The sequence below is a fragment of the Homo sapiens genome, chromosome 7, assembly GCF_000001405.40.
Source record: "Homo sapiens chromosome 7, GRCh38.p14 Primary Assembly".
NCBI lineage: Eukaryota > Metazoa > Chordata > Mammalia > Primates > Hominidae > Homo > Homo sapiens.
The window spans coordinates 83,484,648-83,511,145 of NC_000007.14; the positions used below are offsets into that span (position 1 = coordinate 83,484,648).

General features: G+C 34.7%; 1 protein-coding gene across 2 annotated transcripts in view, besides 1 other annotated feature; it reads right to left on the reverse strand.

The window, feature by feature from the left end:
* The window catches only part of SEMA3E (semaphorin 3E), a 285,902-nt gene that overhangs the window by 121,410 nt on the left and 137,994 nt on the right, over window positions 1-26,498 (reverse strand). For both annotated transcript variants that reach the window (NM_012431.3, NM_001178129.2), the window contains exon 2: window positions 5,467-5,627. In NM_012431.3, coding sequence (NP_036563.1) covers window positions 5,467-5,627 — 161 coding nt within the window. The remainder of the gene's footprint in view (window positions 1-5,466; window positions 5,628-26,498) is intronic.
* Window positions 12,245-12,746: an enhancer, noted in NCBI's record as "NANOG hESC enhancer chr7:83126208-83126709 (GRCh37/hg19 assembly coordinates)". NCBI's record gives its function as "activates a minimal SCP1, AML or CMV promoter by ChIP-STARR-seq in primed H9 embryonic stem cells {active_cell/tissue: H9 hESC(primed)}" and the evidence as "EXISTENCE:reporter gene assay evidence [ECO:0000049][PMID:30033119]".

Below are 26,498 nucleotides of genomic sequence, written 5' to 3' on the forward strand. Positions count from 1 at the left end.
CTACTCTCCTCACCAACCTCTACTGTCTTACCTCCACTAAGTTGTTTTATTTTCTTTATAACATGTATCATATCTGGCATTATAATATTATTTTATTTTTCCAGTGTATTTCCTAATTCTATACTCAATGTGTTCTGAAATAATTCTAGGGTTATTAAAATTATGATCAAATAAAGCTAAGAATAATTAAAAATAATATTATAGTTGCTAAGATAGAGAGGTATTGGTGCAGAGCTAAATAAATGAATCAAGGGAAGAGTGTTGAGGAATGTGGGGATTGAGCAGAACAACAGAGTAAGTGTGAGAGAGTGTGTGAGTTCATTGGGAATTCATGCAGTGATGGAAGTGGAACTCTGTATAACCACATTGGAAAGCTATTTGGCATTATCTTGACATTAACATATTCTATCACTGGCAACTCTACTCCTGAATATATGTGCCCTGGATGCTTTTCCACATGCATGTCTCAGAAGAAGTTTACTAAAATGATCATAGCAACATCGATAAAATGAAATACTGGAAACCACCCAAATGTCCTTTGACATGGAATGGATAAATAAATTGTGCTATATTCATATGATGGAACATATTACACAGAATACAGAGTAAATAATAGCTTATACATACTGCTATGTGCCAAGCACTGCTCTTGGTGCTTTACATAAATTAATTCATAATTAATTTTTATCTTCAAAGAGGAATAATATTTATCCTTTTACAAATAAAGAAATAGGGACACAAAGGGATTTAGGAACTTGCCCAATATTATACATGCATAGCCAGGATTTAAACACCAAAATCCCAGTTGAGTGCTCCCAATTCACTATGGTACTTCTACAGCAAATAAGGCATGGGTACAGGTACATAATTAAATATAAGAAATCATATTAAATAAAAGAAAACAAAACAAAAGGCAATCCCGGAAGAATGCAACACACCATCGTATATGATTTTTACATAGCCCAAAAGTAGTGACACTACATAATATACTGTGTAGGAAAACAGTATATACAGAATATATACTGTATGGGAAAATATATAATAAAATAATTTTTAAAAATGAAAACAAGAAAGGGTAGTAGGTAGTAATTGCTCCTGGGCAGCAGGGTGCATGTGGAGGGAAATAGGGAGAAGACGAAGGTAGCTGCCCCTGCAATGGGATTGGTGATATTCAGATGTTGGGAGCTGGGTTCAGAAGTATTTATTTTATTATATGTTCTAATGAATGTATGTTATGTATATCCTTTTCTGTATGAAATGTTATGTTTTAAAAGATACTAAAGAAATAAATAGAAAGTGAGAAAGTGAAAAAATAAAAGGCTTTGGCTACATTTTCAAGGTGTTTGATCTGAAGGAAAGATGTATCACCGGGTAGATCCATGGTTAATGGTGTGTGTGTGTGTGTCTTTTCTGTTTTTTAAGAGAGTGTCTCACTGTGCTGCCCAGGCTGATCTTAAACTCCTGGGCTCAAGCAATCCTCCTGCCTCAGCCTTCAGAGTAGCTGGGACTACAGGCATGTATCATATGTTTGTCTTCATTTAGAGGGTCTGAATCTTGTTTATAGATAGGTAAGCTAAATTAAGTGTGGAGACTTTTCCTGATTATCATGACTGTGGAGAGGGTGCTACTGGCATTTTGTAGGTACAAGCCAGGAATGCAGCTAAACATCCTGCAATGAACATGGCACTCCCATCCTTAACTATGCATTATCCAAGATGTCAGCAGTACCAAGTTTGAGAAGCTCAGAGATAGAGAAAGCACAACGGGAGAGATTTAAAAAAAATGTTATATCAGGAAAAAATTGAGACAGTAAAGTCCAGACAAGACAGGAGGAGAGCTGGGCCCCAAAGCAGACATATTACATCTTCAGAGCCTGGTGAGCACCGAAGAACTGACCATTTTCTTAAGCTCACTCTTTTAAGCAGAATGTCATAAAGTAGACCTTACTCCTACTCCGCTGCTACTAAAAGCAGCCTCAGAGGGCATATTGAGAATTTATTGCTTATCATTCTGAAGAAACGGGAAGAACAAGTACAAAATAAGAAATGCAGGTGGGGCTGATGTTACATCAGAGCTAATGAAGCATAACAAGCCTCAGGACTCCTTCCTGGCACCTGCCCAGACTGGTACCTGCCCAGACTGGCACCTGAGAGGAGTCTTTGCAATTTTGAAATTTTTAAAGTTTGTGTTAATTATATTAGTTAAAAGTCTCCCACTCCCCCAAGTTGTATACATTTTGGGCTCAGCAAAATAAGGATTTACCCTGGAGTATGGGGTACTCAAATAGGTTTTATAGCTACTTTCCTTGACATCCTGGCTAGATGGCACCCTGAAGCTCAATGGCCACATATCACTCTATTTAGTTCCCTAAGATGCAGTTCATAAAGCCTCATCACTCTCCGGGTCTCCTACCCTTATATAGTTTTCACAGGTCATTTCCTCATTGAAAGCCCAGCTTCCTAGTTTTAAAGTGCTGAGGGTATAATTAGGCCAAAACAGTACATGAGAGTGAGTAGGTGATTCAATTTCCCCTGCTCTGAAGGGGAATCACATTACAATGAGAAGCTGCTATCTCTTGGTCTTATGGTCCACATAGGAAACAACAGCTCAGGAAAATTGTTATTAAATTTTGTGTACATGAGTCACCTATTTGTTATAAACGTGGATTCCAGGGAACCACTCCATAAGAGTCACATAATATTTTGGTCCAAGGATGATAATTTGAGAACTAATTCTTCAATGAAAAGGTTGTTAATTTTCTGAAATGACAGATCTTTTATAGGTTATTCTAATATTCACATATTAACAATTTTAATATGGGGATCAATCTATGACAGCCTTGTTTATGATCCCTAGATTAGATACTCCTTCACAGAAAATCAGAGTAAGTAGATGGTATCAGAGAGAGAGAGAGAGAAGAAAAAGAGAGAGAAGAAAAAGAAAGAGATAGTGGCAAAGCCAGTTAGGATTGAAGCTGGAAAGAGATCAACCAAGAAGTGAGAGAAAAACCCATTGAATTTGACTGGCAGGAGGTCGTGTGTGTGTGTGTGTGTGTGTGTGTGTGTGTGTATTTTATATATATGGAGAGAGAGGAAGAGTGAAAGAGAGCAATTAGTATACATATGTTTGAAGTCAAAAGAGAACTACATAGAAAATAAAGACATTAGAAAGAAAGGAAAGATAGGGTGAAATGCAATATTTGCTTCTACTTTAACCTGTAATCATGAAAATGATAGAAAAAGGATTAAAAAGACATAATCCAAAAAGGATAAGTAAAACTGGAGTGTAGATGCCAAAGAAATATCAGCAACATTTTAAAAACTCTAAAACATATGGGCAAGTGTTGGCACTTTGCACGCTAGGAAAAGCGGAAATCTAACTGCTTGCAAGGTGACAGGAGCCAATATGCAAGCTGATTCATAAAAAAGACTCCAGAAATTCTTGGAAATTAGAAGCCTAGAGAGTGAGAAGAGGGGTGGGTGTGGATGAAATCAGAAGTGTTTCAAAGTATGCATAATAAGCAGTAATGCCAGACAATAAAGGGGGAACAATCTGACTTAGAGGAGTCCCAGGAAGAAAGTGAAGAGGAGAATGAAGAGAAGAAAAGATACAACAGAAATAATGAGCATTCTCTAGAGCTGAAGGCCATGGGGTCCCTGGTAGAAAGTTCCACTGTGTCTCAGTGCAAGGGGTATAAAAAGAGAGATGCTAAGAGAAACAGGAGAAGGTTTTAAAACACAGAGATTAATTAAAGAAGGGATTCCAAACACATGGGTGAGAGACAGGTTACAACCAAAACTTTGAAATTAGAAAGAATCAGACTTCTCAGCAGCTCTACTAGAAGTTTGGAAACAATGGAGCGGTATCCTCAAAATTCTGAAGCAAGTGGTTTCAACCTAGAATTTTATATCCATCTATCAGTAATGTGTGAAGTTGGAATAATACAATTTTCAAACATGCAAGACTCAACACTGGACTCTGTATCCTTCTTCCAGAAGCTAGGAGAGGATATGCTTCCGCAACATGGCAGACTATAGGTGGTGGGCCTGAGAAACTGAAGTTCTATATAAGTCAGGGGCTGAGAGAATGCTCCAGGTGATGGTGAAGCTAAGCTCCAGCCAGACAAGTGGAGCATGGAGGATACCTTCAATTAAAAACCAAAACATTGTAAACTGATGAAAACTGGTAAATTGTACTACATTGAGAGGAGTATAAAAACTTTTGTAGAGAGGCTGGCGAAAAATTAGTGAAACTAATACAAAAATCTTATCAAATGGAAAAAATGGGGTAATGTTTAATTTCAAGAGGAACAAGAAAATTGTAGAAGTAAAGGAAAGAAGGAAGGAAACAAGGGCAGAAGAAAGGGAGGGAAAAGTGTGATAAAATTCCAGCATGTGGCTCAGTGGTGAATACTATCTTCCTAATAGGTAAAGACACTGGTATTTAACCAAAAGTTTTGGTATAATTATTTTGGGAAGATGGAGGGCAAGTGATTGGAGGGTTGCTGATGAAGTATGGTACACAGAATATTTTAACTGTGGTATTGCAAAAGAAGGATGCTAAAATTCTCATCTTCCTTAAAGATGTATTTCTTAACAGATATTGCCTAAAATGAAACATATCAATAAACAGTATGCAAATGTTATTTTGAAATATGTAGGGAAGAACCAGAAGAAACAACAAGAAGTTTAAAATTATTACCTCTAGGGATAGGGAACTGGCAGAAACCAAGGAATGATGCTTTGTCATAATTAAAAAAAAAATGACTTTAGAAAATATGGACATGGCTCATAAACATAAAAATCAATTATAAAGAAAGTGTATTACATAATACATGCACTTATGCCAAAAATATTGTGTTCTAAATATTTATGTATGTTTTGTGTAAGATTTATATGAGTCTAAGAAAATTTGGCTCAATTATTTGTATAATTATAGACTATAATTACAGATTATTTTTCTCTTTTCCAAAAGATGTTGGTAGTTTCTTGTTTTAAATGTATAAGTTACTCCACCCACCAAGTTAAAGGAGCATCCACCTGAAGTAGTGATATTACCAACAGAACTATATGAGGTAGTTATATCGAGGCCACATATTTAACATTTCTTCAAGCTTGCGCTTTGGAATAATAAAGCCCAGAGGAACTGGTGGTGATTCATCATGCTCCAAACCTAGGTCTCAGGACATTGGGTGTGGTGACAAGGGCCACCATGCAAGAGGAATGTCAAATGCACCAGGCAAGAGTGTCTGGAAATCCAGGTATCAGTGTTGTACTAGAAAAGTTCATACAACATGATTTAGAAATCATTTCCTCAAAATGATTTCAGTTTTAACTAATATTTTATTTAAAAAGTAATCACTCAAAATTTTAAAGTGGTCAATACAATTAAAAAAAAGACAAGTAACATTCTTGAAATTTCCCCCCTTTTCTATCTCTACTGAAATGCAGTTTGATATTTCTATACCTCTTTATAGCCGTCACTGATTCTCTCCAAGCTGAGGGAATATACAAGGTCCCTGCCTCCCACGAAGAGCCTCTCTTGATATTCATCCAGCAGCATTGTATGGAGATCAAGAAATCCAAAAGGGCTATGAAATATTGATGTTCTGTTCAGATTCAAGAGCTCTGAAATGCAAAGTGATACATACACTAAGCACACGAGAAAATGTAAATACCTTTATCACCCTTTTCTCATAGCTCTGTTTTCATCCCTATTGGAACTGAGTCATTAACATTCATTTTATCATACATATACTGGCAAAGAATTTTAATGTGCACAAGTTAAAATATTTCATAAATTTATGAATCTAAAAACTTCAACAATTTAATATGTAAGAAAAATATTCTATATTTTTAAACACAGAAAAATAGTCATCCTTCACAATCTTTAACATAAAGTGCTAGGTGAAAGTCATTTTACAGCTCCTCTAATGTATAATGGTTCCAAATCTACATTAAACCCACCAGAGTGTGTTTATTAAATTCCAGATAAATGCCACTCAGAAAAATAATGTTTCTACTTGAAATTGGTTTTGATAGTCACATCCAAAATCAAATTTTCCCAGTCTGCAAACTCTCAGTGTCATCAATACAATGAGGCATTAATGTGGTAACAGTTACAGTAGGGATCACTGATAAAACTGGTGGGAATATATTTTCAATCATTGCAATTTTTGCTAATACTCTTGCATTCGTGCCTATGCCAGAAATGTTGAGCTATGTTTTACCTATATACATGTAAGAAGTCAGAATCTGGCAAACCTCTCATGTGTGTGCATTTGTTTGTTGAACGTATTTAATTGCATATGGCAGTTTAGTACTTAAGGTTGGTAAAACGATATATGAGAGCCTTTGGTGATGAGAGAGAATAAAAACCCCAGGCCTAGACTCTGGATGCTAAAGAATTCCTGAAGAGGCCCTTTGGCAAATGCTGACAAGTTAGAAGATAACTTTTTTTACAAAGATCAATGCCTAATGCATCTAACAGAGAATGTGAATTCTTAGTGACGAGGACTCTAAAATCTAAACAAATGATAATATAAAGTAGGACAAATCTACAGCACTGTGCCCACTCTTACACTTTTTGTTTCTGAGAAAGAAGAGCTGAAGTATATGCCTCTGTATTAATAATATATTCCTTATCTATGTCTCTACCCTCAAACTGTTGATGCCCAAAACTTTGTGGAGTTAACTTTAAATCTTTAGTTTAAAATGAACAATACTGCTAAAAGTATCTGTTCCTCTGTATTAATAATATATTCCTTATCTATATCTCTACCCTCAAACTGTTGATGCCCAAAACTTTGTGGAGTTAAATTTAAATCTTTTAAAATGAACAATACTGCTAAAATCAATGTATCCCTTATAAAGGTAAAACTTTCTCTTATTGAGTTAGCTTTGAGATATTGAGTCTTTTGACTATTCACCTAAATAAATAATCTGAGAATAAGTTTTGAGGGTGGGGAAAAAAGGAATAATAGGTATAACACATAAGAGGTTTGCCAGATTCTGACATTTTAAAATTAAATATGTATAGGTAAAACATATAGCTTGAAACTTCTGACATAGGCATGAATGAAGAGTATTAGCAAAAATTTCAATGGTAGAAAATCTATTCCCTAATATTCCTTCTTTTCCCACCCTCAAAACTTACTTGGGAAGGAAAAGAAAATAGTATGAAAAATTAGAGGTTCTTGAATCCTGGAAGACAATTTTTTTCCATTTAATAAAAAGTAGAATCATACTGCTTTCCTTTGCATACAGCAAGAGAAGCACAGGTTGGGATCCACTAGCATAACAAAAATATAGCTCAAAACTGTCTGCTATCATTATAATTTGTCTTTATACATAAGCATTTACGTTTATATCAGGGCTGCCAAGTGGATTTTTAGAAAAGTTTTCTCAGTTATTCCAATAGTTTGCAACATTTCTCAGTTTTAATGCACAGTGAAATAATCTGAATGTGTACAACTGATGAAAGGATGGTTACGCACTAGCTTGAATAGGTTCCTAGACTACAGAGCTACCCAAAACACTCCGGTGTAGAGCTTAGGGGACTAAGTTGGGAAATAAGAGAAAGTCATGAAAGGATTCAATTATGAGGGATTTTAGTAAGAGGCAGCCCATCCAGTAAAGGAGGTACTCCATGAGTGAATCCATCTAGGGATGACCTTGCCTGCTACCCAGTGAGGTGATTAATACCTCATTATCCCTGCACGCACATGGCAAGATAGACACCAACTTTTACTTGCTTTTATGACTTACCAATTTGCCTACTTTCTAAGTATATTACAGTTCTAATAGTCTAAAGATAGTAGTTCTTATTTCTTTGTAAATAATAGTAGAAACTAATTATTGAATCATCAATCTTATTTTATTCTGGTGTATCACCTTCTCTTGTAACCTATTCTTCCTCTCTATGGCCAAATCTATCCTATGAAATCACAAAGATGTGCACGTTTCTGTGGGTACATACTTTGGAGAAAGCAGAGGGAAAGAACGGAAGTGTGCATACAACAAATGCAAATTTAGTGAATCTTCATTTTTAATGATCTTTATGTTTATTTATATATATATGTACACACACACACACACATATACTTTTACAAAACAGCAAACAACCACTGTGTGACAGTTTAAATTACCAATGTATTTTATTTTACTGGAGAAACCTGGGTGCTCAAAAATTTAATGACTATCTTATGGTCATACACTATTACAATGAAAATCACTCAATTTACCTCTAAAAACATGAGAATTAAAGTATAACAGGTGCGTATATTATAACCAAAGGTCTTTGTAGACTGAGAATCTGGAAGGCCAGGTTTTAGTCTTGGCTTTGACAATAATTGCGTAGGTAAACTTGAACAACCTCTTAACCTCTTTAGACTGGATTCTTCACCTGTTAATCACCCTTTCACCTTTAAAATTCTTAATTATTTGACTAAATTGCATTTTTAAAATGAAGCTGATAAAACAGTGCAAAAAAAGAAGCAAATCGACACTTAGATGTTTTATGGAGTCCTTTAAAGTACAGTGCTGAGCTTTTATTTTTGTTTTTCATACTGTTGGAAGCTTATCAAAGGGAGGGAGTGGTGAATAGCAAGTCTAACTATCACATGTCCCATGTTTAAGCTTGCCTAAAGTGAAGTAGCTAGAAAATTCATTTACAACTTTTGCTCTGACTCTAAATGATTATAATGTCAGTGAAAAAAAATATAATAAGGAATTTCAGAGATTACTTTTCCTGATTCATTCATATTGCCTCAGAGAAAATTATTGCCAAAATATGTCTGGATACATAAAACTGAATATCATTACATACCATAGGTAATAAATTGAGAAATATCATTTTATTTATGAAGATACTTCTTAGAAACATTTCTAAGGTCATTTTTTAAATTTATAAACCTAATAAACAGACTATAGTTTTCTTTAAACATTTCATAATATAAAAAAAGAAAAATGCATTGAATGCTTCGGCTACTCTCTACCCTGACCAATGCCATTCAACAAAACAGTGACAACAATTGAATTCCTAAGACATTAAGACTTGTCAGTAGGTAGACATTATTTTAAAATCATAGCACTAACTAGAGTTTATGAATGCCATGGTTTATATTTTTCATGTCTACTTTCACTGGCATAAATCCTATCTTGATCCTTAATTTTCTCTAAGGCCTGGACTGCTTTTCCTAACTGGTTACAATTTTGTAACATCCTTGACTTTATTCAAGAAAGGTTAGAAGTATCCATTATAGGTGAATATTTGTGCTTTAGACATATATCTGCAATAATGGACATGGAGCCATTCTAAAATAGAAACTATTTTTGAAAAGATGTGAATGTTTATTATATATTTACTCTTATTTATTCAATATTAACTCAATTTTTCTACTTTATTTGATTAATTTGCCTCTTTCCAAAAAGGATCTGAGATGACTTATACAAATATATCCGATCAAATAAACAAATATATTTCTAGGGAGTAAGGGTAAGAGAAAAACAGTTAAGATGAGTGGGTTGTAATAAATTTAACTGGAAGTCATCCGCTAATATCTGTTACATTATTAAAATGAATCCCAAATTTGACCTCAGCCTTCCCAAAATCCAAAGTAGAGGAAGTCATTGTAACACAAGAAAAAAAAAACTGTATCAATTGCTTAGGAGCATTATCTAGTATTAAGAACTAAGAGAAATTTCTTCTAAGGTTTTAATAGGTATACCGAAAAATACTATGGTGGACATTCAACATCACTAAGAATTAAGGTGTAAAGTTCTACACCTGTGCTTATAACTACATCCCTTAATAAAAGACAACTAAACTAACATCAAAATTCACTCCACCAAAAGTCACTTTATGGCCTTAGGTAGCCATGTTATTTGGAATATTAATGACTGCAATGAACAGAGATTAAATTAAAGTAATGTAAAGGTGAGGACAGAAATCCTGGCTTCATGGTAATCGGAAAACAAACAGAAGCCAAGGTAATTTATCTCTTAGAAGATGCTGCATCTTTGCTTCTTGCTTCTCTTAATGCCACCGCTTCACTGTACTGATTCTAAAGGGCTTATTATTTAGTTTGTTCATGGCCAAATATGTCTGTTAGCTCCCAATTATATATAAATTTCCAGCTCCCACATCACCACAGTGTGACAATAGCTCCTGCATTTCCCAATTCAAATTCTCAAGGGAAATAATGAAATTGTGTCAGCTAGTGTTCATAATTCATAGATTGCTGGCTTCATCTAGATTGAATGTGTTGTGAACAATTATCCATCTGCGGTTAAAATGTGGAAGCCACATGGTAAAAAGGGTGGTTTCTATAATTAATGTGTATGGGGTCAGAGCAGTCAACATGAAGCATGTTTCAATTCCATAGCAAACTTAGCCAGTCTGTCTTTATCCATGAACAAATTTATAATACCATAAATTTGTTACAATCTGTATTTCTGCTAGACTAAATAAGTTGGCCTGCTGTCGATAGCTTTTCATGATTATATAATCATGTTTAGATGTTCATGATGTTTAGATGTTCATTCATATATAGATGTTTATGATTATATAATTATATTGCATGTTGGAGAGTATCTGCCAAATATGAAAATTTGAGTCTTCATTAATTGATCTTAAGTCATTTTTCCCGATAATAACTGGATTGTGAAAGTGACTCACATGACTGGATAATAAATTTCATATCTGCATAGAGAAGAATGCTTCTATTTCCAATCTATTTTATAATGAGATTTTCATCTATCTCATCCATAAGAAATTCATAGAAATTGCAGTATGCTTTATTTGTAAAAAGAGCATTATAAACATAAAACAATTAATGAGATCAAAGCAGTAAACTTTGATAAATCATGGAATTCTGAAGTTTAAGAAAGAAGCAGAAACATAATTATTAGGGGAAACATGGGGAAAAACATACATATAGCACGTATGGAAACAAATTGTTTTTAATATGTTCTTTTAATATGTTGAAAAAAACTATTTTAAAGAAGTAAAAATATCAACACTGTTCTGTGAATAGGACATCAAAGACGCAAAAAGTGAATTTGCATAAAAAGAATTCAACTTCATTAAATGTTCAAAGGAATGAGGATAAAATATCATTTTAAGAGGTATTTTTAAAAATTACAATAACTAGTGAAAATAAGAATTCAGGCTCTTCTAGAGACCTATGTAAAATTTCTATATTACACAAATTTTCTCCAGTGAACATGTGTTACTTTATCAAAAATGAAATTATATAAGTAAAAGGGGAAGATGTACGAGACGTCTCATTTTTTATGCAACCAAATTTCCTCCTATATCCAGGTACTGGTCCTCCCCACCCTAACTCTCAAGGTGATAATAACAGTTAATAAATATTTATTGAGCAGTTACATGGCATGTACTATCTAAGGGCTAGACAATTTTATGTCATGTAATCATTGTGACATCTCCTCAGAAATACTATTATCCCCATTTTCTGTATGCAAAAAGAGAATTTATTAGAGATTCAGTACAGAGCTAAGGTTATTTGGTCAGTGTTGGTGACAAAATTTGAACGACAGAAGTTGACTGGAGAGCTTTGTTACAATGCACTGAGATTTCTAAATATTATTTTAAAAATACCCTAGTAATTAAAAGTCTAGTCTATTAAGGGATTATAATGTGTCAGAAATGAATGCATTTTTTGCAGAGCCTGATATAAATAATAAGATAGAAGGTTTTCAAAATATTTAATAGGTTGTATTGAGATAATTCAAAATTATTTAATGGCAACAAGATAAATAGAAAAATTCAGGTTAATATCAATTCAACTTTAATCACCTTTATTGTGTATTTTATAAACTATCCGAAATAATTACAAATTTTTTTTGCTTTGACTTATTGATTCATGACATTTTTAGTTTTACATATCTCATATTTGAGAAAACTGAAATATTTCTATCTAATTTGCTATGGAGTTTCAAAATGTATTGAATATTTTTTGCATATACTGAAGGCAATATAAAGGCAAGCAAGGCTTTCTTCCCTCCTTAAGAATTTTTCCTTTCTTAGTTTTAGAGTCACTCCTTTAAGTCATATTAATTATCTGAACTCCAAATCATGGTCCCTGGACTTGGCATATTTACCAAGTAATGGCTGACTCCTTTAAATCCCTTCATGCTGCTTCAAGCTGCCTGGATGAAAGAAACAGAAAATATACAGGAAGATGGGGACAGAAGAAACTCTAATCTCAGGTAATCTCAAGAAAACACAGTGAAATAATGGACAGTGCTGACTCCGTTAAATGAAGCAAGCTCATCTTGAGTTCCTCCTACTCTAAAAATAACATGAATTGCTTGGGGATGGAATGGACAAAGAAATAAGATGAAACTGAAATGCACCAACTCAGAGTTCATCCGGAAATTTTCTAAAGAGGGAACTAATTATTATTGCTAAGCTGCATGCTAGTTATCAGCTGTCAATGAAGATATACTCTGAGGATTTAGTCATTTCCTCTCGTGGCCTTTCCTTTTAACCTGCAAGAGACACAGTTTTAAAACTCACTGACATCACTATATTACAAAGACAGTTCTCTACACTTTGTCAAAATATATTTAAATGCTATAGTTCCTTGTGTACGATGAAGGAGAGGAGAACACACATTTTTCAGCTCTCAAACAAAAATAGATTTCAGGGGAGAGGTGTTTCTTTCTTGAATGCACATTTCTTGTTCCACCGTCACCTGCCAAGTAAAGACTTCCTAAGACTCAAGACTTTAACTAAACTTGTCATGGTTTTCTGAGTTAATTACGTTATTCAATATTGTCCTAAGGTTAATTCAACAAAAAAAATTGAATTTCAGTCAGTAAGCATTGTTAATGAAAATGAAATATGGAAATAGCCATTAGAAATTTTCTTTAACTTTGTAATGGTTCAAAAGGAAAAGGTTTCTCACAACATGCTTTGATGATTTTGACAGATTTGACTGATGATCACTAGTGGCTTATGATGTTGAAACAGATTCGTAAAGAAATAAGCAATTAACTTTTTAAAAACTATAAACACAGACTAGCTCATTGATTTGCTAATTGCTCTTTTTAGCAATGGACAATCAGCTTGTCTTTCATGCAGTCTTTGAACTTTTAGGTTCTATTATTTTCACAAGTCAAAGGTGTACAATAGGCATTGTTGTACTAAAAGTTGCTCAGTCATAAACCACTTTCCAAAGAAAGCAGGAGTTCAGATATACATAGGAATAGCCTAGACATTAATTCTCCAGTTAAAAGAAAATAATATAATTTATAATTTTCAGATTCCTTGTGTTCTTATCATATGTAAATTATTATTTAATGTTATATGGAAAAGTAAATATGTAAGTGAAGATGTATTTAATGATTAAGATGAAGACATTCATGATAAACTACTTCTACTTAATAAATAGTAAATATATTTTCTCTTATGGTTTTCTTAACATTTTCTTTTCTTTAGCTTATTTGATTGTAACAATACAGTATATAATACATATAAAAATATGTGTTACTCAACTGTTTATGTTATCAGTAAGGTTTCTGGTCAACAGTAGGCTATTAGTAATGTTTTCGGGGATTCAAAGGTTATATATACTCCAGCTTTAGACTGCACTGGGGTTTAGCATCCCTAACTCCCAAGTTGTTCAAGCATCAGCTGTATATTGAACATCCACTGTGTTAGGAATTATATCTGGAGTTTCAGAGGAATACTAAAGATCAATATAATTCTATAAATATAACACAAATCCGATTTTAGTATCCATTTTATTTATGAAATTTAGAGATAATTTTTTTCAAACTTGTGTACTTAATAAAATCAGGCACATTCACTTTTTTTTTTTTGAAACAGAGTCACTCTGTTGCCCCCGCTGGAGTGCAGTGGTGCGATCTCGGCTCACTGCAGCCTCCACCTCCTGGGTTCAAGCGATTCTCTTGCCTCAGGCCCCTGAGTAGCTGGGATTACAGGTATGTGCCACTATGCCCTGCAAATTTTTGTATTTTTTAGTAGAGACGGGGTCTCACCATGTTGGCCAGGCTGGTCTCAAACTCCTGACCTCAAATTATCTGCCCACCTTGGCCTCCCAAAGTCGTGGGATTACAGGTGTGAGCCACTGTGCCCAGCCTTTTATAAGAGAATAAATTTTATGGTTCAAAAGCCAAAAGATATAAAGGTTTAGAGTGATAAAGATAAACTTCCTTCCATCTGGACTTTCCCTCTATTTAGTTCTTACTTCTTTGCCCTCAATGGATTAATCCTGTCTAAAATCTTGGGCATTCCTTCAAGTTTTTTATGCATATGCAACAAATTAGATGTATAAATCTTTATTAATTCTCAACTTTTTTACAGTCAAAAGGAATCATAATATAAACCTTTTTCTTTACCTTTCTTTTCTTCACTCAAAATATCTTAGAAGTATTTCTGTATCAAAACTTAGAGAGGTTATAGTTGCAAATAACATTTTGTTGTATGGATCACCTGCGGTGGGCATTTGAAATCTTTTAAATTTTTACTACTAATACAGCACTGCAATGTATATATATGAATATATGTCCATTCACAGATGTGCAAATATATTGGTAAGATAAATTTTAAAGTGGAATTACCGGGTCAAAAGCATTTGTAATTTTAACAAATACTGCCAACTTTGCTTCCATAGGGATTATATCACTTTAAAATTCCCTGACTATATGCAAGAGTGCCTGTATCCCCATAACCTCATAAACCATATGTAATTAAAGTTTAGGGTGTTTTGCTAATTTGATGGAGAAAATATAGTTTGAATTTCTCTTATTATAAGGTGAGGTTAAGCATCTTTCATATATCTTAGGGTACTTTTGTGATTGTTCTTACTACATTCATTGTCTATTTTTCTGTTGGATTAAAGTTGCTTGCCCATATTTGAATTTAAGGAATTTTTAAACTGTTAAGTTTTAAGTTTTGAAGGTCATGGCTGAGAGATGAAGGAAACTGGGCCTTTAAATGTAGAAATTCGTGTATCACTTATGTTGGAAAGATATTTTAAAGGTGTTTTATTTTAAAAAATAGAGTTAATTCCCTTTTTATCTCATGCAGCCTCCTCTTTCATAAACTTAATTCTTGATTATCTGGAGTAATTAACCAATTTAACAATTAACAGCTTATATAAAATGCTTATAATTTTAAATACACATATGCACATATACGCGCATGCACACACACACAATGTTACTCATCAGAAGTGGGCAAGGGGCATTCTCAGTCTTCCAGAGGCTGAATTTGGACATCAACAAAGTCCTATGCACTCCTATTCAACTGGCGAATTATGTGGGGATAAGAAATGTGTGGCTTTACCCAAAATAGAGCACTTATTTGTGAGAATTCCAGAATTTTGACTAATGAATATTTTATAATAAGATGTTATAGATATTCAGTCAAAGCAGAAGTTAAGGAAGCCAAGAATATATATGAACTACTGTGGTATTTTTCTGCAACATTAGCCACTTAAAACTTACTTAAAAGAGGCCGGGCGTGGCGGCTCGCACCTGTAATCCCAATACTTTGGGAGGCCAAGGCGGGTGGATCACAAGGTCAGGAGTTCAAGACCAGTCTGGCCAATACAGTGAAACCCCATCTCTACTAAAAATACAAAAATTAGCCAGGGATCGTGGCAGGCACCTGCAGTCCCAGCTACTAGGGAGGCTGAGGCAGGAGAATTGCTTGAACCCGAGAGGTGGAGGTTGCAGTGAGCTGAGATCAGGCCACTACACTGCAGCCTGGGCGACAGAGCGAGACTCCGTCTCAAAAAAACAAAAAACAAAACAACAAAAAAACTTACTTAAAGGAGGGGAGAGAATGAAAACAGATTTCTAGGAATCCTACCAAATGCTTTCAGTAGTACAATAGCCCATATTTTATAGGTATGATCATCATCTATACATCTATCTAACTTTCTTCCTTTTTTTTTTTTTTTTTTTGAGATAAAGTTTAGCTCTTGTTGCCCAGACTGGAGTGCAATGGCATGATCTCGGCTCACTGCAACCTCCGCCTCCCAGGTTCAAGCGATTCTCCTGCCTCAGCCTCCCAAGTAGCTGGGATTATAGGCATACGCCACCATACCCGGCTGATGTTTGTATTTGGTAGAGATGGGGTTTCACCATGTTGGTCAGGCTGGTCTCGAACTCCTAACCTCAAGTGATCCACCTGCCTCGCCCTCCCAAAGTCCTGGGAGTACAGGCATGAGCCACCATGCCCGGCCTCTTCCTTTCAAAATACTTTCATGTATTCTATGAAATTGTCTGTGGTAACAAAGCTTTGATTTTATTTAGGTACTTATTTTTTAATGTTAAGCATGTTTAGATAGGATTCATTTTACAGCAATATTTTAAAAGTCAGCTTTTCTGGATTATGCCATTTTACAGAGAATTAGCTCTTATACAATATTTAAAACTTAATAAGATACTATTATTTTATACATTTACATCATATTCTTTCTTAGGATTAGGTCTGAAATAAATGGATGATATCTGGTTACTTCATCATTAATTCACATTAAAATACATATTTAACAATTTTTATTTCATTCGTTCAATCTGCACCACCATAAAACAAAATGCATTTTGCTAGATGCCTTCTGATTTATGAACAAAGTTAGCTAATGTGTACAAAAGTGTAATGTTATAATTACATATTATTTAAATCATAAATACATTTCGGTTTTATCTCAACTCAAAAATATCCTGTTATAGAACTAATGTATTCTCTACGATCTGTATTTTTAACTGAAGTCATGCTAAGAAGTTGAATAGGTCTATCATCTACTTTTTTTTGTTCTTTTTGAGATGGAGTCTTTCTCTGTCACCCATGCTGGAGTGCAGTGGCACGATCTTGGCTTACTGCAACCTCCACCTCCCGGGTTCAAGCAATTTTTGTGCCTCAGCCTCCCAAGTAGCTGTGATTACAGGTGGATGCCACCACACCCAGCTAATTTTTGTATTTTTAGCAGAAACAGGGTATTATTGCCAGGCTGGTCTATTATCTACTTCTTCGTCTGATCATTTTAATGACAGGTCTAATGTAACTTGTTAATACATATATAACTTTTTATGTTTTTGTTGAAATTGTATACTTTTCTCTAGCAAAAACTTTATTGATCTTTGGCCTATAACATGTTTTCTCTAGTTAATAATCCATCTTATAACAACAAAGAAGCAAATTAACTAAAACTGGAATCACATTTTTTCTTCATATACTGAATTGAATATTTGATAATTTAAGTTTTTCAAATATGACTCCCAAATTTTTGTCTTCTATCTTGACCCCCAAATCCATACTTGAGCAGCCAAGTCCTAATAGCTATCTTCTCTTAGAGTCTAAAAGTCTTCTGAAATTTAGCAAATTAACAATATGGTCTTGATTACCAGAGACAAACCAACTCCTTTCCCAGGCTTCCACTCAGTAAATGGTTCTTTGGCTCTTGGCAAAAACCTAGAATTTGTCCTGATTCTTCTTTCTTGAGTGCCACACTATCTATCCTTAGCATCTCCTCTACCACCTCTCATCTGGACCACTGAATGTTCTTCCTATTATTCTGTCTTCTATGCTCCGTGCCTCCCTCGACCACCACCAATCAGTTCACCTCACAGTAGCCAGAGTGATCATTTCTTTCCTTAAAAATATAAATTGGGCTGTGATGTTCCTACCGTTGTTTCCCAACTCCTTTAGATTAAAATCTGGCTCAAAGTCTGTCATTACCTCTTGGTTGCCTACCTCAGCCCTGGTGTTGCTCCACTTTCTCCTTTTCTCACAGAGCTCTAGGGCTTGGGCTTTAGAGTTTGGCCTGGACTCTCCTTCTGTCTGCCACCCACCTCCTTCTGACCTCCATGCTGTTGGCTCCTCCTCTCATCTGGATCTTCACTCTGTCTTCCCAGTCTTAAGAAATAAGCCCTCCCAGTCTTAAGAAATAAATAAGCCTTCCCAGTGTTAAGAAATCTAAAGATTCCAACCAGGCATTCTAAGTTGCACCATTATCTTTTCATATCCTGTATTGCATGAATGCTACTAGGTTTTGTGTTTTTTAAAATTTGTTTGGTTGGTTTTTCTTATATATGTTTTCTCTCTTCTGACAAGGAACATGTTCCATAAGAAATTGTAAGCCTTTCCATCTTGGTCACTATGATATCCCCAGGACCTAGACCAGTTCCTATGGTTTATTTCGTAAGCACTAGATAACAATATGTTAAATGAATGAACTTTTCTGTGTCTCACTGTCCTCATTGTGAAATAGGGATAATAATAACTAACTGGTAGGACTGCCGTAAGAATCAAATGATTCATAGTACCTAATGGACAGCAAATATATATGAGTTTCTTTCTCTCTCTTTTTTTTTTTTTTGATGTCAATAAGTTATGGGTCAAGGGCAGTGAATGCAAATTTCCCTTGTTGAAATAGGGCTTTCTTAATTACGTTCTGTCAAGTGGGCATAGTTACTCTCAGGGCTCATAATATAGGCTCAAAATGAAATAGGAAATTTCACAATTACATGATTACTGTGATCAGTGTAAACAGCTACTGCGTATTTTTAGGGAAAAACCTCAATTTTCTACCAATAGTAATTTGAGTCAATTTTATATTTCTTCTTTTTATCCATTCCCATCTCAGATTGCAACAGAAAATTTGTCTTTATTTCCTAGGAAGTTTGTTTTTTTCTTTATTTATTAATTTATAAGCTCAGCCTGAAATAAACTATACAAAGCATCTCTAGTTTACCCTTGAAATTTGAATTCTAAGTGCCAAACTGGCAGGCAAAAATTATTTAAATATTTTATTCTTACTATTACTATTAAAGTTTAAATTTCTAGGAGTTTTCTAGTACAGTCATTTGTCATTTAATGATGGGAATACATTCTGAGTAATACATAATTAAGGAATTTCATTTTTGTGCAAACATCATGGAGTGTACTTACACCAACCTAGATGGTATAGCCTACTGCAAACCTAGGCTATATATGGCCTATGTATCCTAGGCTACAAACCTGTTCAGCATGTTACTGTGATGAAAACTATAAGCAATTGTAATTTGATAAGTATTTGTGTATTTGAATATATCTAAACACAGAAAAGGTAAAATAAAAATACTGCATTATAATCTTATGAGACCACCCTCATATAAGTTGTCTGCCACTGACCTAAATGTTGCTACGTGGCACAAGACTGTACTTAATTTGGTGGCTGACTTGTAAGGACAGAAACAGAATTGTCAATTTTCCTACAGATGTATGGTTGAAGTGATGTTACAGGATCACAGCAAAATAGCCTCTACATTTTCCCCACTTGACCTCTAATAAAGACCGTCAGTCTTATCTTTATAAAAATAAGGCCTTCCCTCAACTCACAAATTTAATCCTATAAAATATTCTAAAAACACACGGTTTCCAGATACACCAGGAGTTTGCAATCTGACATCTGAAATGGTTGCACCTTTAAAAATCTGTAGTTTTCAGACTGACATATTACCAAAGCAATGACTATTGTATAATTTGAATACTTTATCAATATCACATTTTTCTCATAATTACTAAAATGATAGAATAATAACTGAATTTCAAATCCAGGCAGAATGAAGTGCAACTTTATAATCTTTTATATCCTGTTAATTTCATAGAAATTGAACCTACTCATCTACATTATAATAACAAAGAAAATAACACTGTTGGTAGATGCTATGTGGATGTAGAGATGAGGCTGTGTGTTATTTACCATTACTTCATAGGTTTGGAACTGTCAGACAATCACCAAAATCTTATTTGCTGTTAAATTACGTGCCTCAATTACTGTAGTGGCTACAATGTGAGCTGGATGCTTCTTACTAGGTAATAGGCCCCCTGGGTACGTGGGTTCTCTTTAGATGTGGCTAAGAGAAACATGAAGACAGAAGACAAACCAATGCTGTGTGTACAGTTCACTGATGACTTTCTTTCACAAAAAGTTGCCTTAGTGACTAAGCTGCTAACCAAATTCTTCTTCTGTTTTCCTTTTCTGGCAATTATCAGTTAGTATTGATTTACTATCCAGAAATCCCTGTTGTTTATAACCTGTCGTGAGGCAAATAGTACCTAAGAAGACCACCCATGTTTTCTCTGGAAGCTATGAAGGGAGGGCAACTCACATTCACAGAAAGGCTCTTATGTGTTAGGTACTGTGTGAAATATCCAATATACATAATTTCACTTACCCTTCACTCCACCAGTAGGTGCATATGGCTTCTATTTTACAAATTAGAAAAACAGAAGCTCACCGAGAAAGTTAAAAAACTTCCTATTGTCACTTATCATTTGAATATTGACATTTCTGGATCTTATTCATTTTGCTTATTACAAGTTACAATAACAAAAGAAGTTGTATAAATTATATAGTGGTTTCTTCATGGATTAAGATTAGTCATAAGTTTTCAGTAATAGGCATTACAGATATTTCCCATATTTTATGCACATATCAAATAATATTTACTTTTAATAAAAGGTCATAGATAACCTTTGGGGGTATACATTTTTAAAATTGTATTTCAGCCTTTTTTCATAAAACCTGATTTTCAGCCTCAATCATCCAAAATTCTATCTCATTGCAGCTTATGTTACAAACCCAATCAAAACAAATAAATGAATAAAAATTAACACAGAGGATCAGACAATATAAAGATCAGAAGCAAATAAAATTAATTTAAAAATCTAAGTCTATTAACCTCAAACAAATAAAAGGAGATCATATCCCTAAAAATAAAAGGTAATTAAAAGAAATCAAGATACCTGTTTTGTTCCCAAAATTACCACTGAATATACCATTTATAGGAAAACTATTTTTTAAATTTAAACTTCCCCATTTGTGGAAGTATAGGAGTGGATGGGATGAGCACCAAGGTTTCTCTCACTTCATAAACTATTGTCATCTCTAGTTGGGAAAAGAATAAACTGAAATTGTCCAGAGGATGCTTTCTAGAAATTTTTTATTTGTTAATTTTTGGAAACCATAAGAATTACAGAATTAGTTCTATCATTATGGAAAGATAAGAATTTATGCTGAAGATACAATTATATATATTTGTGGCCGGGCACAGTGGCTCATGCCTGTAATCCCAGCACTTTGGGATGCCAAGGGGGGCAGATCACAAGGTCAGGAGATCGAGAACATCCTGGCTAACATGGTGAAACCTCGTCTCTATTAAAAATACAAAAAATTAGCCGGGTGTGGTGCCACATGCCTGCAGTCCCAGCTACTCGGGAGGCTGAGGCAGGAGAATGGCGTGAACCTGGGAAGCGGAGCTTGCAATGAGCTGAGATGGCACCACTGCACTCCAGCCTGGGCAACAGTGCTAGACTCCGTCTCCAAAAAAAAAAAAAAAAAATATATATATATATATATATATTTGCTCAGTTCTTGTGAAGCTGTCAGAAAAAAAGTATATTGCCTTGGGTACAAAAAAAGTAACCAATTTATTCTTATTGATCTGTTTTCCTGTAATTTTTGATAGGCTTCAAACATAAGTGGCAAGCACTGTTCACAATAGCTAATTTTGGAAGCAACCTAAGCTTCCATCAACAGATGCATGGATAAAGAAAACGTATAGCGCATATACACAATACAGTATTATTCAGACTTAAAAAATAATAAGATCCAGTCATTTGCAACAATATGGATGGAACTAGAGATCATTACGTTAAATGAAATAAGCCAGGCACAGGAAGTCAAATATCACATCTCACTTATTTGTGGGATCTAAAAATCAAAATAATTGATCTGAGGGACATAGCAGAAGGATAGTTCCCAGAGGCTGGAAAAGGGAATCGGGGGCTTATGGTGTGGATGTGAGGATGGTTAATGGATAAAAAAAAATAGAATAAATAAGATCTAGTATTTGATAGCACAGCATGGTTAAAAAAACATAAGGGGCAAGAAATATATTGATAATTGTATACCTGTATCACACACTTTTTAAGAAAATGAGAAAATATAACTTAGGTCATGCTAAAATTAGAAGAACTGAAAGATTTACAAAACCCATATAAATCATAATGTAATCTCCTATGCCAAAACATTATTACTCAGAAAACAAGTAAGTTGGCAAATGTGAACACCTTTCCACACACACTGAGAACAAGAGAATGGATGATAATTTTTTTAAAGTATGGAAAACTTGGAAGACACTTTTATACGATAAGTTAAAATGTCTATTATAGAACTCACTGGGTAAACTTCAAGGTATAAAATTAGTTCTAGACGAGCAATTTATTAGTAGAGCAAGTTTCAAGAATGAAACTGAAGTTGTGTCACAAAATTGAAGATCAGGTTCTTACATTCTATATTTTATTTTAGACTGCCAATCATCTCCTTTGAGAATCAACTAAATTTCTGAGAATATCATTCCTGCCAGCTGGAGGCAAGAGCAAAATTCATTACCATGTAGCTGCCCTATCCCTAGACCCCAACTTTATCAGAACAGATGCTAGTGCCCAGGTAACTGGCCATCCATCATCTAGTCAAATATGATCTTTAAAATAGTTGGATCCTCTGGCAAGGTCACTACCCCTATCTGGAAGGAAAAAATCCATGTAAAATTGAGAACAGGAGGTCAATTTTCTTTTTCTGCCATGATTAAGAAGAGGGAGCCTCCACCACTGGAAGGGAGCAAATGCATTAACCTCCCTGACTGGCAGGTACCCATTAAAGTGATGATATAATTCTTCACAGTGCTTGCAGTGAATGACTGCTGGGATTTATCACTTCAAAACAGAACTCTGTGTGTGTGTGTGTGTGTGTGTGTGTGTGTGTGTGTGTGTGTGTGTGTGAAAGGGAGAGACAGACAGAGATGGAGACAGAGAGACACAAAGAGACAGAGACAAATGAAGAACCTGAATGTTGGGAGAGCAGCAAGCAGGGGCAAGCAGGTGGTGGAAAAACTTTTACTTCAACAATAATTCTTTCACTTTGCAATAGGGAAAAGAAACATGACAATTAAAACTGATGCAGGCCAGGTCGCGGTGGCTCACACGTGTAATCCCAGCATTTTAGAAGGCCAAGGTGGGAGGATCATTTGAGCCCAGGAGTTCCAGACCAGCTTGGGCAACATAGTGAGACCTCATCTCATCTCTCCAAAAAAAATAAAAAATAAAAAAAATGCCAGGCATGGTGGTGTGCACCTGTGGTCCTGGCTACTTGGGAGGCTGAGGTGGGAGGATAGTTTAAACCTGCAAGGTTGAGGCTGCAGTGAGCATGGCCACACCACTGCACTCCAGCCTGGGTGACAAAGCAAAACCCTGTCTCACAAAAAACAAAAAACTGATGCAAATAATATCAAGAAATGAGCATATCAGTTATAGTTCATAGTACTAAAAATAATATAAATTAACAGATATGATATTGAGGCATTTAAAACTATCAAGTCTCAGCCTGCTTTTGTAAAACTTGTCAATTACAGCCCTCAGAGAGCCTCCTTATTTTCCTTGTAAAGATTAAAACAATATTATTATACCTGAATTGTTAAATGCCTTCAAACTGCTAAAATCTTTTTAGTGTGAACATTCCTGAATATAAAAATATTAACTAAATGATTGATTGATGACATAATTTTCTTTTTCTTTTTTTTTTTTTTTGAAGATGGAGTTTTGCTTTTGTTGCCCAGGCTGGAGTGCAATGGTGCGATCTCAACTCACTGCAACCTCTGCCTCCTGGGTTCAAGTGATTCTCCTGCCTCAGCCTCCCGAGTAGCTGGGATTACAGGCGTGCGCCACCACACCCGGCTAATTTTGTGTTTTTAGTAGAGACAGAGTTTCTCCATGTTGGTCAGGCTGGTCTCGAACTCCCAACCTCAGGTGATCTGCCCACCTCGGCCTCCCAAAGTGCTAGGATTACAGGCGTGAGCCACTGCGCCTGGCTTATAATTTTATTTTTCAAAGGCAAAATTACTGGCAGAAGTTGTAACTCCTTCTATAAAATCAATTATATTTGCAATATTTATACTTCATATCTTTAATATTCAATGACATAGCATAGTACATCTGACATTTTAAATTATATTTTATTATAAATTATCTATGGGGAATTTAGGTTGTAGGATGACAAGTATTTAGCACATTTCTCTTAGTAAATAAAGATAAATTTTATGCACAGTGGCAAATTGCCATGGGTAAAATAATAATTAATTTCCAATGTAATTGACTACCCTACTATATGACCAAAAAGACTCCTTATGTCCACCAAAAAGACAAAAACATACTTTTTGATCTGATAATAGCAAATTCGTTAAGTACATTATAAACAGAAGCTTAATGTTTTCAGTAGGGTTTAATCTAATGGGCAAGTTTGCACACCTGGTGTAATTTGAAGGGGGAACATGTAAAGGGCCCCTTGAGCCCAATTATTTAATCCTCCCCTAGTTACTCGTGTCATTAAAGTTTTACAACTTTTATATTTTTGACTTTCAAGAGACTCTATTAAAATTTTGGGACCCCTGGGATGTATTATACTTAAACCTTTATTAACTAAAAACTTTGCTTTGTCTTAACACTTGAACTAGATCTAGCATAAATATAACACTAGATAAACCTAGGAGAGGGATGATTTTCAAGGGAGAAAATGAGGATAATATTAGGTGAGGGCTACGTGTTTAGGGGTAGGGGGAAAACATGAAGGTTGATCCAAATGCAGTTTTCATAGTGTTGCCCTGAAGGGCCCTGGCACACAGATTTGCTATTTTGCTGCAATAAGGAGGCCAGAGCCAATTACACTGTTCACTTCTGTCTCAGTTTCCTGGAGGCAACGAGACACACTCTGTGACATATGAGGGTATGTCCCAAAAGTCTAGGTAATTTGGTCAAAAATTTACCTTACCCTTCCCCATGACAGAAAACAAAACAAAACAAAACAAAAACAAACAAAAAAACCAACTTATATCTATGGTAAATTCAGTGTTCAGTGTGGGGGATTTTCTTCATTTCCAATTTTGACTCTGCTTCCGTATCTTCTAGATTCTCTACCTGGGTTGCACATTGGAATCTCCTGGAAGCTCTTAAAATGTTGATGCCTGGGACCCTTGCCAAGAGAGTATGGCCTATTTGATCTGTCACTGGAATTTTAAAAAAATTTCCCCAGGTAATTCTAATGTGACAAAGATTGAGAACTTCTGCTGTAGAATGTTTCTGCTAATGCTCAGCTATTAGATAAGGTACATACATAGTATTTACTTAGTCCCTGGGTTCACAAGCTTGTAGATCAGTCACAAAGAATTGCCAAGACATCAAACTTGCCAGAATGTTCCAGCCATTACTTAATCCCAAGTCAATAATAGTAGGAAAATAAAACTGACCACTACTACTTGACATTGTAGACAAGATCAAGAAGGGGAGTGAGAAAAAAATCTTGCTTGACTATTACATCAACATATTAATAATGGATGTAAAAATGTTGATCCTCACATTCTTGAGTATTATTGTCTGTTTTTTGGAATGGCCATCAAACCATCTAATAAAAATACAAATTGATCATTGATGAGATTTAATCCTGTCAAATCCACTCCATTTTTAATTAAGCAAGTGTTTATTTTAGAGGAATTAGAAAATACTCATAGACCCTTTTTATAGATAATAAGGCATTGTCTTCAATTTGTACAGGAATAAAAATTCAGCTCTGATGAGAATATGCAATATCTACCAATTTCTTTTGGTCTATATCTTTTCACAAGAGGATTTTAACTGTATTGTGTATTGTAAGCTTCTCATATTTCTAGAGGTTTCACACATTTATATGATTTTAACACATCATCTTTACAGTAAGAGGTGGAGTAATACAATATTGCATATCCCAGTAGATATATACTAATATAGTGTACTTGCGTGCTTCCAAACTTTTTCCTTCAAACATTGAACCATGAAGAAATGCCACAGATTTCCAAGGTTATCAATACTTTCCTCTTCTAGTAGAGAAAATGTATCTCTCTCCTCTCCACAGAGAAAAAGGATTTTTCGATAGAATATTCCTTATCAATTGTTATGATTTTTACCTGGCAAAAGTTGAGATAGAAACTCACTCTATTTATTAAAACCACAAAATCTGGTAGTTGTGTAAAACTGCCCTAAAAGCTACAAAGCAAATGTGGTTTCTCCTAAATATTTATATACATATTCCATGATGTGGCTAGTTGACATTTGGTGAAATGTCCCTTGTCTGGCCAATGAGATAACCCTCGTGGTGAATCTAATTTGATGAATCTAATGCTCAAGAAAATAATTATATGTATAATATCACACTTTTTTTGTAATGGCTAATCTTGAATATCTCATTGGCAGAAAGTTATTTTTAAAAGATGGTGTTTCATCACTCAGATTTATTATAATTAAAAGGGGACTAAACTTAAAAAAATAAGTCTGTGTTGAAATCTACAAGTTTGATTTTAGCAGCTGTCAACTTTCCAAATTTTTTGGTAAACTTCTTGTGGTTCCTGTAGTCTGTAGGGTTTTTAAGA